General features: G+C 49.5%; 2 annotated features.

Annotated features, from left to right (window-relative positions):
* Window positions 1,030–1,229: an enhancer, noted in NCBI's record as "active region_758". NCBI's record gives its function as "activates an Ori minimal core promoter by ATAC-STARR-seq in GM12878 lymphoblastoid cells {active_cell/tissue: GM12878}" and the evidence as "EXISTENCE:reporter gene assay evidence [ECO:0000049][PMID:35858748]".
* Window positions 1,370–1,419: an enhancer, noted in NCBI's record as "active region_759". NCBI's record gives its function as "activates an Ori minimal core promoter by ATAC-STARR-seq in GM12878 lymphoblastoid cells {active_cell/tissue: GM12878}" and the evidence as "EXISTENCE:reporter gene assay evidence [ECO:0000049][PMID:35858748]".

The following is a 17,360-nucleotide window of genomic DNA, read 5'->3' on the forward strand; positions in this document are numbered from 1 at the left end:
GTTTTATTTGTTTGTTTCAGGCGAGAGGATAAATCTGGCCTCTGTTGCTTCATCTTGGATAGAAGTAGGTGCCTCTCTCCATGGCTTTAAACACCATCTATATGGTAATGACTGCCAAGTTCACCCCTGAACTTCAGACTCCTATATCCAACCTGGGATAGTCATGGCCAGCACCTCAAACTCACCATGCCCAAAATGGAACTTTTCACTGTCCTCTCATCAAATCTTTCCTTCCTGCCATCCCCATCTCAGGAAACGTCACCTAGATGTTCAGGCAAAAAACCTTGGACTTATCTTTTTCCTCTCTTTCTCTCACATTCTATATAGCTCTACCTCAGTAGCTCTTTTTGGCTTGAACTTCAAAATGCATCTCAAATCTGAGACCCTTCCATTACTCCCACCACTGGTTAAAGCTCCTGTCACTATTCACCTTGAACCTTGCAATAGCTTTCTAGCTCCGAACCAACTGCGTTCACGCCTCATCCCTCCTGCCGTCTGTTTTTCCTTCAGAATCCAGTGAGCCTTTAAAACTTTTAGCCCCCTCGTGATTGTTCAAAACCCTCCACTGGCTTCCTAACACAACTTAGAACAAAGCCCTAGACCCCTGTCGTAGTGCACAGGACACTATCTGATATGGCCTCTACCGCCTCTCTTGCTTGCTCCACTCTGACCACCCAGGCCTTCTCGCTGTCACTTGAACATGCCAAGGACCCTCCTGTGTCAGGGGCCACTTCCTTTCCCAGTGCCAGAATTGCTTCTCCCTACACATTTCCCCATCTCTTCATCAATCTCAGCTCAAAATCATCCCCCTAGAGAGCTCTCCCATAGCTGTCTGATCTAAGATAGCTCGCTCCCTGCTGCTGCTTCTCCCCTACTCTGCTTGATTTTTCATCATAGAACTTCTCTCCACCTGACACCCTACATATTTACTTGTTTGTGCATTTATTATCCCTCTTTCCGTGGAATGTAGCCTTTATGAAGGTGAGGGCTTTGTCTTGGTCGCTGCTGAGTTCCCTGTGCCTATTACAATGCCTGGGGTAAAGTAGGTGCTCAATGAAGCAGATTGAGCGAATGAATGAGTGCTCTTCTTGGCCACTAGGTACGATCGACAGGCTGTGTGACTCTGGACAAGTCCTTTGCCATCTCAGGGCATGTCTTTTTTAGGTGGGTGCTGGCTAAAAGCCCTGGCGTTTGCTGTTCAGTTCCCCACCACGCTAGGCGCCACACTGGAGGGGCTGGGCGATGCTGGCCATCCCGCGCTTGGAGGCTCTGGGCTTCGGATAGTCACGATTACCACCAGAGGGCGCTCGATGCTCAGATTACGGACCAGGGGCTCTGGGTAGGTAGACGCGTCACTGAGACTGTATTTAGGACCTGGGTATACAGGTGGTGTAAATGTGTTGGGGAATGGGGAGGCATTTCTAGGAGTCCTGACTCTGGGGTTCAGGATGTGGAGTCTCAGTTCTGCAGCTCACCCTCCCATGCTTGCTCCGCACCCACAGACAGACCCTGGGGAAAATTTTCACCTGTGTCTTCCTGGGGAAGGAAAAAACGGAGTCCACTAGCATGGAAACTGTTTGGGGGGGGTGCTCAGTGGCTTTCCACATGTCCTAGATCCCAAGATCTCCTTGTGGCTTTGGGTAAGACAAGTAAACCTCCTGGCATCACTGAGCAGGGTGGCCCTATTGTCCTTGGGGTCCCTCCAAGGAGCCAGAAACCTGGCAAGCCCGACCCAGCCTCCCAGCCGCCTTTAGGGCTGAGTCCTTCGTTGTCCCTCCACAGGTCAAGGAAGACCCCCTTCCCCAGACTGTAGATGGTTTCTCAGGATCCCAGGGCTCTCGCAGGGCAATCTCAGGCAGGAGTGAGGAGATGCCTTCTGAGTGGAGAGGCTCACCTGTGAGCAAGCTCATTTCATTCTCTCAATTAGTCGCAGTGTTTTTGCTATTGACTCACATTGCAAATGGGGATACCGAGGCCCAGAAAGTAGGAAAGACAGTGAGAGGTCACATATCAGCATGTGGCACATTTGGTTCCACTGCTCCCTCTGTTTTGTGTGTGCTCAATGCCTCTTTGGGCCATTCTCTTTCCAGAGAGTTATCTTTCCCAGCTCAAACACAGCCTCTGAGCCTTTGTACTTGCTGTTCCCTTTGCCTGGAACATCTTTCCCCACGATCTTCAGGTGCCTGGCTCCTTCATGTCACTCAGGCAGCAGACCAGATGCCACCTCCTCAGAGAGGACTTCCCTGACTATACCCTGTCTCTCTCTATCTCACCAGCTTGTCTTATTTCCTCTACAGCACTTAGCACCATCTAAAATTAATCAATTTCCTGGTTTCTGGTCTATGCTATGTTTTCCCCATCAGAGTGAAAGCTTCACTGGGACAAGGACCCTGCCCAAACGCGTTCCCAGTGGGCCACATTTCACCTATGGCACACAGTATGAGGAGACCCATGGATATTGAATGAGTGAGTGAGGGGGAGGGAGAGTTGCCTGTCACCCATGCGGGTCCCCAGACAAGGTCTCAGTAGCACAGAGTCACACCTGACCCCTTCCTGAAGGTCCAGGCTTCATGATGCTCTGGGGCCGCTGTGCCCACTTCTCTCTGGGGTTCTTCCTTCCCCATCTGCACCCCGATGAGAGGGATGCTCCTCAGACAGGCAACCATGGAGTGTTTGATTTAAGAACAGCCAACACCAATATGTGGGAGAAGGAAGGAGGGGAGCAGTGGACCCTGAGGGTGGGCTGCAGCCTATGGTGGTCTGAGGAGTGAAGCTTCCAGGATCTGGGGTACAGTTGGCCACACCTGTGATTGCAGAGGTGCTGATGCCTTTGTGTTTCAAAACTCAGGCTAAGTGTGTGCATGGACTGTTTAGCCATAATGACTGCCCTCTGTGAGATGGTCAGAGGACCTGTCTTGCGAGGAGCTGCAGAGGGCATCCACTTCACTATGTGTGAGTGCCAAGTGCTCCTAAGCACCAAGAATGCTGACTTGCAGGATGGCTTGGTGACTGGGTGGAGAGCAGACAATGGATGCAGCAGGAGAACGAGTTGTGTTTTGGGCCAAGAGGATCTGGATTTGAATCCTGGCTCAGTCACTTCTGTGCTGTGTGACCTTGGACAAGTGACTTCCTCTCTCTGAGTTAAGAAGAAATGAACTCTGAGAACTGTGTTTTCCTGGGACTAGCTCTGAAACTCCACCCTCCCAGGCTCAGCTTTTCTGTCTAGGGTTCCTGGTCACCATTCAAAGCCCAGTATAAAGCGCCCCTCCTTTGGGAAGCTATATCCCCATCCCATACCTGGAGGTTCAGGTTCCTCTTCCTCTGGGGTCTCTCTATTCTGCCTGTATCTACAGCACATTGGTGTTGTCTGTTTTTATGTCTGACTCCTTCCCATGATGCTGGAGACCCTGGCAGGCCGGCAGTTGCATTGTTCATTTCTTCATCCTTCCTGCCCAGCATGGGGATGGCACACCGTAGGTGTGGTGGTGATACTGAGTGAGTTGGGTCCCTGAGACTGGGTTGATTTCTCTGCTCAAGGATCCCTCAGGATAAACTTGTCATCCTCATCACCCCAACATGACTCCTCGTCTAGCAATCCCTGCCCTCTTTACCACTTCAGTAGGGTTGCCCAGAGTGAGATAACATCACCAGCAGCACCTAACTTACCGTGTGCTAGGCATGGTGCCACACACTCACGTGTGTTATCTCACCCAGTCCTCATGGCCACACTATGATACTATTTTCATACCCATTTTAGACATGAACAAACTGAAGCTCAGGGAGATGAAATAGCTTGCCTGAGGTCACTTGGCTCACAAGTGGTAAAGCTGGTGGTGTACTGGTAAATGTTGAATAATCAGCTCTCCAAACAAACATGTACAAGCTTCCATATGTGGAGTTTACTAATTTCTGTGATGCTCCACAGAATTTCAAGTTATCAACATGACATCACTGAACTTGGAGTTGGGAAGAGATGCCCACAGCTGGTTCTTATGAGCAGGTAAGAGCTTGCTTCAGCACGTCATGGGGCAAACCCAAGTCTGTTTGATCCTGACCAATCAGCATTCTGTCTAGATTCCTAAGATCTGCTATTAAGTGATAAAAGTAAGGTGCATTAGGGTACATATCAAAGGGAAAAAAGAATATATATATATACACACACACACATATGAAAGAATATACACATATTATGTGTAATTTGCTTGTGTGTGCAAATCTAAAAGGATTTGCCAGGAACTGATCACATCATTGGTTTTCTCCACTGGGTAGTAGCTGGAAGGCAGAGTGGGAGAGAGATTTTCTCTGGGTATTCTTTTGTACTTTTAAAAATTCGAGCCATATGGGTGTATTAACTATTCCAAAAAAAAAAAAAAAAAAAGAACAAACACGCAACAAATCCAGATGACCAAGCAACCAACCAATCAACCACAAACAGACTTTGGGCCTGCAGCTCTGTCCTGGGCTGGTCTGCGGGCCTGGAGCTGGGCAGGGGTTGCTGAGTGGCTTGATCAGGGCTGCCCACCAGACCACACTGCCTTTCGGCAGGCCTTGGTCTGTGCAGCCAGGCTGGTGTGTGGGGATGATGGGGAGGCTTCCATGCCTGGAGTCTTCCGGGAATATGAGGGATGGGTGCACTTGTTTTAATTCTCACCCGTGCAGCTTGGTCACTGAGACCATGGCACTGCATTCTAAACTCAATTAGAAATTTAACAAACCTTATAAATCCTCCCCAGCCTGAGCCTTGTAAATCTCTGGAGCGGGCCAGCTTAGCACTTATCCATCTCCGGCTTAATGACCTCCCCAGCCTGGCCTGGGAATGATTCAGGGCTGGTGACAGGTCTAATTAGTGAGCACGAACTGTAGCTCCAAGTATAGTGAGGAGGAAGTGCGTGCTTGGTCTCTGCCCCCGTGGCATTAGAGAGGTGAGTGAGTCTTAGTCCTTAGTCCTCATCCAGCCCAGATCTTGGGATACTGGCACATGGGAGGAAGGGGCAAGAAGGGTGTGGCAAGTGTCTCTTTGATTTTGTGTGTGTATGTGTGTGTGTGTGTGTTTGAGACCAGGTCTGGCTCTGTTGCCCACGCTGGAGTGCAGGGGCATGATTACAGCTTCTTGAAGACTCAGCCTCCCAGACTCGAGTGATCCTCCTGCCTCAGCCTCCCAAGTAGCTGGGACTGCAGGCATGCACCACCACGCCTGGCTAACTTTTAAATTTTTTATAAAGACAGGGTCCCACTATGTTGCCAAGGCTGGTCTTGAACTCCTGGGCTCAAGCAGTCCTCCCACCTTGGCCTCCCAAAGTGCTCAGATTATAGGTGTGAGCCACCATGCCCGGCCCTCTTTGACTGTTAATATAACCCTGTTGATGGTGTGTCCCCCATGTAATTGTTCGGGGAAGGCTGTTGTGTGGCCTCTAACATTACTGCATCCAGGGCCATGTGGGAGCCAAGTAGGCTCCTAGGGAGGCAGTGAGTTTGTAGGTATATCTGAAGTCCTGTTGATGGCATGGGTGGTGAGTGCTTGGAGGGTGGGTTCTGATCTTCTTGGGCCTGACAGAATTGTGTTCCAGAGATACACATATGAAATCAGAGAGGGTCCAGTTAGCCCCATTTTTACGAGCTCAGGCTTCAGATTTAGTGAGAGGATGGATTTTCCAACCAAGCTAACTAGGCTTGTGAGGTAGTGAGCTCCCTGTCAGTGGACAGAACACTTGGGATTCTCTACCATTAATGGAAGACCAGCTGTGTGCCCCATCAGACACCAAGTCTGCCGGTGCCTTGATCTTGGGCTTCTAAGCCTCCAGAACTGTGAGAAATAAATGTGTGTTGTTTATAGGCCACTCAGTTTATGAGATTTTTGTGATAGACGTTCAAATGGACTAAGACACTGGGGGTGGGTTGGGTCTGAGGCCCTCCTTTTTTACCCATGACTTTTCTTGCTTAAATGCAGGAAGCAGACGGACATTGGGGTTGCGTGGGTGGGGACGCTGGGGTGACAGATGCCACCTCTCACACCACCAGCCCCTCTGAGCCTCCCACCCCCGCCCCCAACCCCAGAACAGTAACCAGCAGGAGGCCTGGGCAATTGTTTCCAACCAAGCCTCCTCCTCAGTGGCGGGAAAGGGAAAGTCATATTTTTATCTATAACTCACAATGAATAAAAATTTAATTACACTGAAAAATTTAAATTTCATAAGAAATAAATATTAATCCTGGAGAGTGACTTTTGTAGGAAGATAACTTTCAAATGTCGTCAATCTGGAGGTACTGGGGTCTGAGAGGGAGGGGGAGCCTCCAATCAGGCTCTTGGTCTGGGCTGGGGGGTCTCCACTCCTGAGACTGAGGGTTCAAGGACTCAGATCTCCACTTAGCAAAGAGCCCACCTCTCCCCAGCTATGGGGGCAGCAAGGTGGCCACTCTGAAGGTGTGATATCTTCTCCTCTCCATTCGTGCCTCGGTACCCATCAACTCCCTCCCACTTTCAATGGTAATTCATCAGCTGCCATGCGCAGACATTTTTCTAGGTGCTGGGGACAGTGCAGGGAAGGAACCAGATGTCATCCTTGCCCACGTGGTGCATAAGGTCTTGTGAAGGAGGCAGACATGAAATCAGTAGCCACCAATACCACTGCCCAGTGAGTGCTCTGCCGAGCACTGCACCCCGACCTCCACTTGGTTTACCTGACGATTATTGTTATTTGCTTAAAAAATTCAAGTAAAATGCACAAACATAAAGTGCGTACAACATAAGCCCACAGCTCAATGACTGATGACCGTTGTATGAATACGCACTCTCCGGGTTAAGGAATGTAACACTGGCTCCCATGCTGGGGATTTGACGGAGGGGAAGGCCCTGCCTTGGGGACCTTCACAGACTGTTTGATGGATGATTCTTGCTACCTGGCCAGGGAGAGAATGATCTGGGGGTACGGTGGCCTAATATTAGTAATGACATCTCAATACGTACTGAACATTTATCATATGCCAGGCTTGATTCTAAGTGCTTTGTGAGTATTAGCTCATTTAACCCTGACAAAGAAATCCCCATGAAGTAGGTGCTGTTATCACCTGTTTCATTTTATCAATGAAAAAACTGACACACAGAGGGTAAGTAACAAGTCCAGAGTCACCCAGCTGATGGGAGACAGAACCTGGTGACACCTGAGTCCCTGGCTTAGAGTCCCCAGCCTCTTCTGTGATGGGAGAGCCCGGGTTTTGAGTACAGGACACTTGGGATCTGGTGCCCTGGGGAACCTCTGCAAATCTTTTGATGTTACTCCTCATTCAAAATGAGATCTGCTGTGCAGCCTCTGGCAAATGTCTCAATCTCTCTGAGCTTCAGGTTCCTTCAAAAAGGTTTGGAGAAACGTAGAGAAAAATCCTCATTCTGTGCCTCCCAGGGTTTGTATGGGGTGGGAAGAGGTAACAGAGGTGGATATTATAACCTGGTCATAATCGCGGTCAAACTAGTCCTAACAGTGAGCCACTCTGGGCCATGCCCTGTGCTGATGCAGATGCACCAAGCACACTTAGTGAGGCAGGCCCTGTTATTATTCCCATGGGTGAGGCATGGCACCAGGGTCTCGGGAGGAGTCTGAGGACGGTGAGGTGGTCACCTAAGCTTCCTTGGGGAGTGCTGGGTTAGTGAGGTGCTGCTCTGAGCATGGGAGTGAAGGCAGGATATGGGACGTGCTTTCTAGTAGGGGTCCCACGGGAGCAAAGGCACGGACATGTGGATGCTGTGTTGCGGGCTGGAAAAGTGTTCTCTGATGGGCTAGGGTGAGGCCGGTGTAGATTCTGAGCTGGCCACCCCAATGGAATCACTTCTCCATTCCACAGTTGCTGGAGCCGAGACCATCCTGAGTTGGAGCTGCAGAGCCCGGGTCTACGGATGTGCCGCACCTAGGCGGAGGAATGGGAAAATAGGCCCAGGAACGTGGACTTGGCCTGGGAAGTAAAGTCCTTGACTTTTGAAGCTGAGACCAAGGGTAAAGCAGGTAGCTAGCCCAAGTGCCAGCTTGGGGCAGTGGGATGATGACAAGAGGGCCTTGTCCTGCAGTTGTTAGCGATGTGCTGGGCCGAGACAACCATAGCCCATGTGTGGCAAGAGGAGTGTGGAGGAGGCTGGGGCCCAGGGGTCTGATTTGCACATGAAGACCCTCCATGGAGACTGGTGCCAGAGACCTGCACTTCTCCAGGGACCAAATGGACCGGGACTCCTTAGTATTGGGAAATACCTTAGATTTTTATTTGGCTGGCCCAGGGCCCAGAATGACAGTTCTTTAGGCGGCAGATGGGAAATTCATCTTTTGCAGCAAAAACAGCGGAAAGCTTCACTACTCCCCAAACACCAGACCCAGACACTAATATTCACATACACACATATCCAGAGAAGGAGATGCATGCAGCCGTCCGTGTACAGTGTGCATGCAGACACGAGGGCTCATGGGGACACGTGTGCACACACATGCTTGTACAAGGTGCTTGGACAACCATAGAGACACCCGCGTGCTCCTGCATCCCTGGAACCCACTCTCCTGGCTGTGTTCTGCTGATGGAATGCTGTAATATTTTTCTATTAAATGTTGCATTTGTTGTGCCTTTTAGTAGCTTCCCTCATTAAAAATGATATTATCCCCATAAATAAGCCAGCATCTGAGAAGAGTGCCCGACTCCATTTCTCTTCCTAATTGAGACACTTAGCTTTGATTTGCACGCCGGCACGTACCGAGCGGATTAATTTTCAATTAATGCTCCTAGGCGGGTGGCTACAGGCAGTGTGGGCTCAAGCAGCCCAGTAGCCTGGGAATAGGCACAGTGGGAGCCGGGGACAAGGACAGATGGGGACTGGGAGGACCTAGTGAGGGTTTTTCTCCAGCATTTCCTGGCCACGTGAAAGAGGCCCCTGGGCTGTCTGGAGCTTTATGGTTTTGTTCTTTGTGGGAAAGAGGTCCCTGGGGGCATCATGTATGGGAAGCACCCTAGTCCTGTACCAGGAGAGGGCCCCAAACTCTAGCCCTTACCTAACAGAGGCTACAGGGTCTTTTCAGTGCTTGGCTGTTATAGGCCCTACTTGGTGGGCCTGGCAGCTTAGAGTAAAACTGGTTATGGTGGCCTCAGTTTTGTCATATGAACATTTATGAGACATAGGCCCTCAGCCCCTCTCCCCCAAGTATAGCCACCTGCACGTCGGGCGCCAAGTCTGTGGCCTGATGTGCAGGTGGCTCTACGTGGTGGGGAGGGGCTGAGGGCCTCTGTCGCATAAATGGTTAAGAGCCTGGGTTCTGGATCCAGACAGGCCTGGAATCACAGTCCTATTCTGCCACTTCCAGCAGGTGCCTTTAAACCATTTTATCTTCTCAAGACTTAGTTTCCTTATCTGCAAAGTGGGGATAAGATCAAGTGCTAAAAACGTTATGGTGATTCAACGAAACAATGCAAGTAGTGCTTGGTGCTCAACAACGCTTAGCTCTCCTTCCTCCTTCTGCTCTTCCTCTTCTTGCTCCTTCTCCCTCTTCTCCTCCTCTTCCTCCTCCTGCATGTCTATCCATAAGGTGAATTTCCCACCTATACCTGCCACTCTGTCTGCTCAGATCCTTTGCTTTAGATCTGTACCTGCAAAGAGGAGCCTGCTTGCCCCGCCTGGGGGCAGCCGTCACTGGGAATCTGTCCTAATGGCCTTTCCCCTTGGTGTCTGTGGGTCTTTGGTGGCTCAGGGTCCTGACATGCTTCTTGGTGCCCTGGGAATGCCTCCACTGCAAGCTTGTGGTCCCTCTGGGCTGCAGCCTCCTGTGGTTTGGCCTTCTTGTGGAACCCATATAAGAGTGAGCAGCTGCATTTCAGTCTCTGCTCGTTGTCACAGTAAAAGACACACTAGTCTGGGAGCCAAAACATGGAGAAATCCCTGGAATGTTTATCAAAGTCTTCTGAAGAACACTAAAGAAGATTCTGTTTCTGTTTATAAGAAGCAGCATTGCATCTTTTTTATTTTTATTTTTTAGATGGAGTCTTCAGAGTCTTGCTCTGTTGCCCAGGCTGGAGTGCAGTGGCACAATCTTGGCTCACTGCAGCCTCTGCCTCCTGGGTTCAAGTGATTCTCTTGCCTCAGCCTCCTGAGTAGCTGGGATCACAGTTGTGTGCCAGTACGCCTGGCTAGTTTTTGTATTTTCAGTACAGATGGGGCTTTGCCATGTTGGCCAGGCTGTTCTCGAGCTCTTGACCTCAAGTGATCCTCCTGCCTTGGCCTCCCAAAGTGCTGGGATTATAGACGTGAGCCACTGCGCACAGCCAGCAAAACCCTAATTTTTGCTATCATCTCTCTCTCTCTCTCTCTCTCTCTCATATCTATCATGCATGGCTGCTGTCCCTCAAACCTGTCCCCTTCCTCTCTCAGGACTCCCACAAACTCCCCCTTCCCACCAAATCCAGCCTGTGCTGGCTGTGGTCCAGAGGTTGCAAAATGGTGACCCAAGAGCCTATCTTGCTCATAGACATATCTTATTAGGTCTGAACAATCTTACATATATATTTTTTGAAATACTGGGCAATATAAAAAAGTGGATTTTTTTTGGAAAAGGTAAGCAGCATTGAAAAAATGGGGGATTTCCCGTTGAGTGTGAACTTCCCACTTCACTTGAAGAATCAGCTCTGGTGACACGGGCCCACCTCACTCACTTTGGACACCTACCTGGCACCTGTTGGCATCTGAGTGCGTGACCCTTGCTCTTGTCTTCCTCTCCCTGCACCCCTTCTAGGCCTGCTCACTTTCTCACATTTATATTTTTTTCTTCTGTGGCCCTTGTGAGGTCATTCCCTGAGCCTGAAGCCAGTGCAAGTCCTCCCAGTTGCCGGTCCCCGAGGCTGGAGCTCCTCCTTCTCATCCTGGCTCCAGGGCCTCTTGCCAGTCCACTTAAAAATTCTTCTCTTCCAAGCTAACCATCCCCAGCTCAGAGCGCTCCCATCAAAGCGAGAGAAGTTTCCAGAACCAGCATCTCTCTCTTCTAGATATGGCAACACCTGCTTTCCAAACTACAGTTTCCTCCCTTGCTGAGGCCAAGGTTTCTCTTGAAGAAACCTGTATTTCCTAATGCCCTCTGCTCTTGTATCATCTGAGCCCTCCTGCCCATCCTCAGGACCTCACTCCTGGTGTGGCTCACATAATTCCAGGTCATTGACTTCTTAGGCAAACGCTGGAGAGATAGATGGTCTAGCACTGGGGCCCAGTGGGCAGACTATGGCCAGGTGACCTGGGTCCTAACCCTGGTTCTTCTGCTTAGCATTGTGATCGTGAGGAACTTATTCCATTTCTCTAAGCCTCAGTGTCCTCTGTGAAGCAAGGATGATAATAATAATGCCTGTCTCACTGGCTATTGTGCCAACCAAATGAGATAAAGCATTAGCACCTTGATACTCAAGGTGTGGTCTTTGAACCAGCAGCATCAGTATCACTTTGGTACTTACTAGAAACACAGAATCTCAGTCCCCATCCCAGACCTGCTGAATCTGCATCTGCATTTCAACAAGATGCTCAGGAGTTCCCTGTGTGCAGTCAAGTTGGAGAAGCTCTGGGTTAGTGTAACTTTTGGTATAAGGTAATGGTAGCTGTCACGACTGATAGTCTAATAAGAATCCCTCATACTAAGGCAGGTTCTGGTTGTGGAGAGAAGACTGTGGGCTCCAATCCTGTTCCTGCAAATTAGTATTGTGTGCCCACTTCAGCCTTCCTCCCTGTCTCCTGATCCCTGTCTATTAAAATGGAGATAATTATGCCATTTCTTGGAGTTGATTTGAGAGTTAGATAAGATTAAGCAGAAGGTGCTTCAGAGGATTGTGGAAAGTGATTCCAAGATATTGAAGCTCTGAAAGCATCTTTGCACATGTTTTATGGGCACTTCCTGCTATTGTTCCCACCTCACTTTATTTTTATTTTGTTTATTTTGTAGAGACAGGGTCTTGATCTGTTGCCCAGGCTGGAGTTCGGTGGTGTCATTGTAGCTCCTGCAGCTTTGAACTCCTGGGTTCAAGAGATCCTTCCACCTCAGCCTCCTGAGTAGCTGGGAGTACAGACGTGTGCCACCACATCTGGCTAATTTTTTGTTGAGATGGAGTCTTGCCATGTTGCCCAGGCTGGTCTCGAACTCCTGGCCTCAAGCTATCCTCCTACCTTGGCCTCCCAAAATGTGGGGATTTCAGGCATGAGCCATCACGCCTGGCCTTGTTCCCATTTTATAGAGTGAGAAGTTGAGGCATTTCAAAACCAAGGGTTTGTCCAAGCTCATGTAACCAATCAGCTACAGAACTGGGTCTGGTTCTCAGGCCCTGAGTCCATGACCAGTGCAAGACCCCTTAGAGATCTAGATCTGCCAGATCAGGCTGCCACCGGGGTCCTGGAACCTCTCCTCTGCTTGTCCCCCATCTACAATCCTCCAGCGGTCCCTCTCACTGTATTGCGCTGTTGGCTGGTTGCTTCTTGCTTCTGTGTTGGGGACGATAGTGGCTGCAGACCAGGGAGGGGTTGGGGAAAGGAAGGATGGGGCAGCTCTGGGAACTGGCGGTTAATTAAAACGTCCTCAGAGGCGATCAATTCACAGTCAGTGGCTTGAATCCGCAATGACCCAGCACCTCTCTGGCAGAGCACATGGCCTTCCTGGGGGTGGCAGGCAGGAGGTATGACTGTCCTCCTTCTGGTCCTTGGAGCCCTGGCAATGGGCAGTGCTGTTGATGCTGCCTCCAAAATATTCCCATCTTGTTTCCATAATAGCTTCTGTCACCGCTCTTGACAGGCCAGCCATTAAGTCTTTGGCAAAACTGTAAGAATTATTAACATATGAGGTTTTATATTATTTGACAGCTGTCGGCTCCTTTAGAATTTCCATCACCCTGTCCCCTCCCTTCCCTCCCATCCTTTCCCTCACCTTCCCCCTCCCCAACCCATAAGGATGGGAGGGGATTCTCAGTCACTGGGGAACTGGGAAGAGACAAGTCGCTCAAGCTTCACTCACAGTCACTTCTGCACATCTGTGGAATGTTCCTTGTGACCCCTCTGCTCTTAACCTGGAAACTTCCTCAGCATCGGCCACACCTCGTGTACACCCCCAGCATCAATGGCTTCAGTGACGACTCTCTGCTCTCCACCTACCTCCTAACTCTGCCTCCTGAGCCCAGACAGACACACAGCTGTCTCCTGGACATCTGTCAGATAGATGCTCAGTATTCCTGACCCAGCATGACCCAAACCAAACCCCTCCCCTTGCCCCGCCCCACTTCTTTCTCTGGAGTGCAATACTCCCTCATCTGATGCCCCGCTCCATCATCCATCCCATTCCCCAGGCCAGAAATCCAAGGGTCACCCTGGTCTCCTCTTCTTCCATGACCTCAGGGGCTCAGGCCCCCTAGCCCTGTCTATTCTGCTTCCTAAAAGCCTCTTGAATTTACTCTCTCCTCCCCACCCCCATTGACCCCATCTAGGGCTCACTGGCAGATGTCCTGCTCAGATTCCCTTGGGCCCTCCCATCAGAGTGCTTACCTGTCCCACGCCAAATGCCTGTAGCCTTTCTCTGGGGCTGCAGCTCCTCCCTCCACCCAGGCAGGCAGGAAGTGCTGGAGAGTTAATGCCCCTCCCTGCTTCTCAGGGCTGCTCTCAACCAATGGCTGCTGGGAGTACTTGGGTAGGATATCTACTGCTCTCAACCAATGGCTGCTGGGAGTACCAGGGTAGGATAGTACTTGGGAGTACTTGGGTAGGATAGCTCTGAGGCCCATGGTCTACCCTGTGGATCACTGAAGTCTCTGTGGAGTGAAGCTCCATTCCCATGGTTGCAACCAGCTTGATCAAGGCCCCTTTGGCCTGCTGCCTTCTTTCCCTTTCCCTCTTGGTGTTTCCTAGGATCTCCTCTCAAGCAAACTGCTTGCACTCAAATCCTTGTCTCAGAATCTGCTTCTAGGGGGACTCAAATGAAGACAGGACTCAGTCTCTGTCTGTCCTGCGTGCACATCCGACTCTGCCAGGCTCTTCTCAGGACTCTGCGGGTTGGGGGTGGGGTGGGGGGTGTCCCTAATGCTTCAACTCTTGCTGCTACTGAAAGGGAGGTCTTCCTAATGCCCATGGGCCTCGATCCAGAAAACCTGACTATAGAAAGTATTTGGGGACTGTTATTTACGTTTGAAAAGGAATTGCCACAGGCCTCAAATGGTATGCTTTTCTGGTACTTTCATTAAATAAAGTTTAGCATTAACACAGCTATAAAATAATAAAGATATAGGGCATCCGTGTTAAAGAGAAAATATATTCTCATATCAAAATATATCACAAAGCTATGCTCAACAAAACTTGTACTGGTTAGCACAAAAATTAACCAATTAACAGATATGCCAGAAACAGGACCCTAATGAATGATAAAAGTGGCATTTCAAATGAGTGTAGAAAAGACAGATTAGTCATGAAATGATGGTGGACACTTGGTTAACTATTTTAAACTCATCTACTTCATGCAAATTCCAGGTGGATCAAAATGTTCACATTAAAAATGAAATCATAAAAGAACTAGAAGAAACAAAGGTGATTATTGCAGGATGAGTTGGGCTTTTCCAAGCATAAACACGAGGGGAAAAATCACAGATAAGCCTGTAAGAACTGACAAAATAAAAATAAAGAATCTCGAAGTGAAAAGGCAGATGAAGTGGGAGATATATTGGCAGTATATACTGCAGATTAACAACAACAAAAATCAATTGAATGGGGTTTAGGTGAATCAACAGTTTTTGTTTGCTCAGGGCACCTAGTGTCAAATACTTAAAAAATCAGTCAGATCTAGAACATACCCTGAAAAGGCAAATAAACATCTGGTCACCTGCTTGTCAAAGTGCTTACCTTTATGAGGAGGAAGTTCTTCCTGATGTCCAGCCTGCCTTCCTCTTGCTGGCAACAAGAGCCTCTTCTCTCTTTCAGTTCTTAGGGGAGTGGGAGGGCTTTTCCTCGAAATAAGTTCACACACTATGTGTGGCCTCCAGGGTTTCCAGGCCAGGATGTCTTGGCACCTGCATGTATTGTCAGAGGTTCAGCCACACTTGAGGTCCAAGAGGGAACAGACTTCTCAGAAGGACACATCAGATTGTCAGCTTGGACGCACAGGCTCACAGCTGGCCTGATCTCATGCTGTCCTCCTCCCTGTCCCATCTCCATCCTGAGCACACCCTGATCTACTCCATCCTGAGCCCCATTCTAAGCCCCATCTGGATCCCACTCTTGTCCCTTACCCTTCCCATCCCAGACCTTGGTGGGGGCCCCCATGGCCAGGTCTGGCTGGGTTGCATGGCCACTCTGAGCCAGGCCGGCTGTGCAGGGAACAGATGGGCTCCCTGTAGAAGCGGCAGCGGCGCAGAAGCTAATCCACTTTTATCTCGTTATGGTGACAGCCACCCTGTTAAATGGAATGGACTATTGATTCGGGGCTCACTTCCAGCCCGAGGATTTTCCATCACAGGCCTGAGTAGAATAGGAGAAAAGCAACACTTATAAACTTGGGTGCCAGTCAGGGAGAGGCTGGGGTGGGGGCTGGAGCTGGGCAGGCGCAGGCGCCAGGGCTGGCAAGCCAGGCCTCCAGGGTGCTGGGGAGCCAGGCTCAGACCTAGCATCTGAGGGAGCCTCTCCTTCCCTCCTCCCTCAAGGCAGATAGGGGGACAAAGGTGCAAAGGTGCATGACACAAATAGCATGCATGTTCACACAACACTGATGCACACATACACCCAATGCTGATGCACATATACACACAATACTGACACCGACAATGCTGACACAGATATACACAAGCATGCTGATACACAGCAACACTTCTACCCATCACTGACACAGATATACATACGAACCCACTGTCGACACACAGCTACACACTCAATGCTGACACATGTGCAGACACACAACACTGATACACACCCAACACTGATAGACACACTCATGCAATGCCAGCACACACATACACACAACACTGACACACATATGCATACAATGCTGGCACATCCAAACACACAATGCCGAAACAGAGCACACCGTGCTGACACATGTATATGTATTGGCATGGGCACACTCACATACACACTCAACACTGACACACACATGCACACAGTGCTGACTCCTATCTATACAAATCACGGACACAGATATACACACACACACCACGATCCTGTGTACTCATACAACACTGATGCACACGTATACACACACAATACACAACCATAGAATGCGGATGCTGATTACATGAGTACGCAGGCACACAGCAACACATACACCCATCACTGACACACATATGAACCTACTTTGACAAAAATCTACACAAACAGTACTGACGCACGTACACCCGACACTGACAAAATACACATATGATGCTGCATACATATACACACAACACTGACACACATACTTACCCAGCATGGACCTACATATACCGCCAAGGCTGTCACACATATATGCCCAATGTGGACACAAACATACACACACAATGCCAACACAGACACGCATATACAGATGCTGATACCATGTACGCACAGCACTGACACACAGATGCTGACACACATATATCCACAGTACCGACACCTCCTAACACTGTTCCATACATAAACACACGCTCACTGGGCCTCATACTGCAAACACACCCAGTACCCACCAGCATCCACACCCAAGAGACGCATGTGCCATGCTGGTAACCTAATGCCAATAGAAACAAACACAATAGTGATACTGGCATAGAAATTTGTCACCTATTACTGACACATAAGTTAATGATGCACACACACAAAACACACACCTATACATAATATTGAGGCACACCTGTGCGCACACACACACACACACACATGCACACATTGGCAGCCTCCTGTGTTCAATGCCTGATCATTATGGATCGCTAGTCCTGCTTCGCCCTGGGGGTGCTAGGCCTGGAAAGGAGAGTAAACCTCGGTCTCAGCTTTTGAGCAGCTTTGCCTCTAGTTGGGGAGGAGGGGTGCTCACATAGAATATAGAGCCACATCGTAATTACAGCAGACTCATCTACAGCACTTATCATATGCCCCTCACTGAAACACAAATCTTCACATAGAAAACACAAATCCTCACAACAACCTTTGGCTGTAGGTTCTATTATTAGCCCCAGTTTGTAGATGAGGGACATGGGCACAGAGAGATTAAGTGACTTGCCCAAAGTTGCACAGCTCTGAAATGGTAGAGCTAGGATTTGAACTCAGGCCTTCAGGCTCCAGAGTCTTCAGTGTAACTTTTATAAAGACCGTTTCATCACACCTGATTCTGGCTGAAAAACCCCCATGTGCCACTGTTTTAGGCCTAGACCCACCTGCATACACAGACACACAC

This window comes from Homo sapiens, chromosome 1 (genome assembly GCF_000001405.40).
Source record: "Homo sapiens chromosome 1, GRCh38.p14 Primary Assembly".
NCBI lineage: Eukaryota > Metazoa > Chordata > Mammalia > Primates > Hominidae > Homo > Homo sapiens.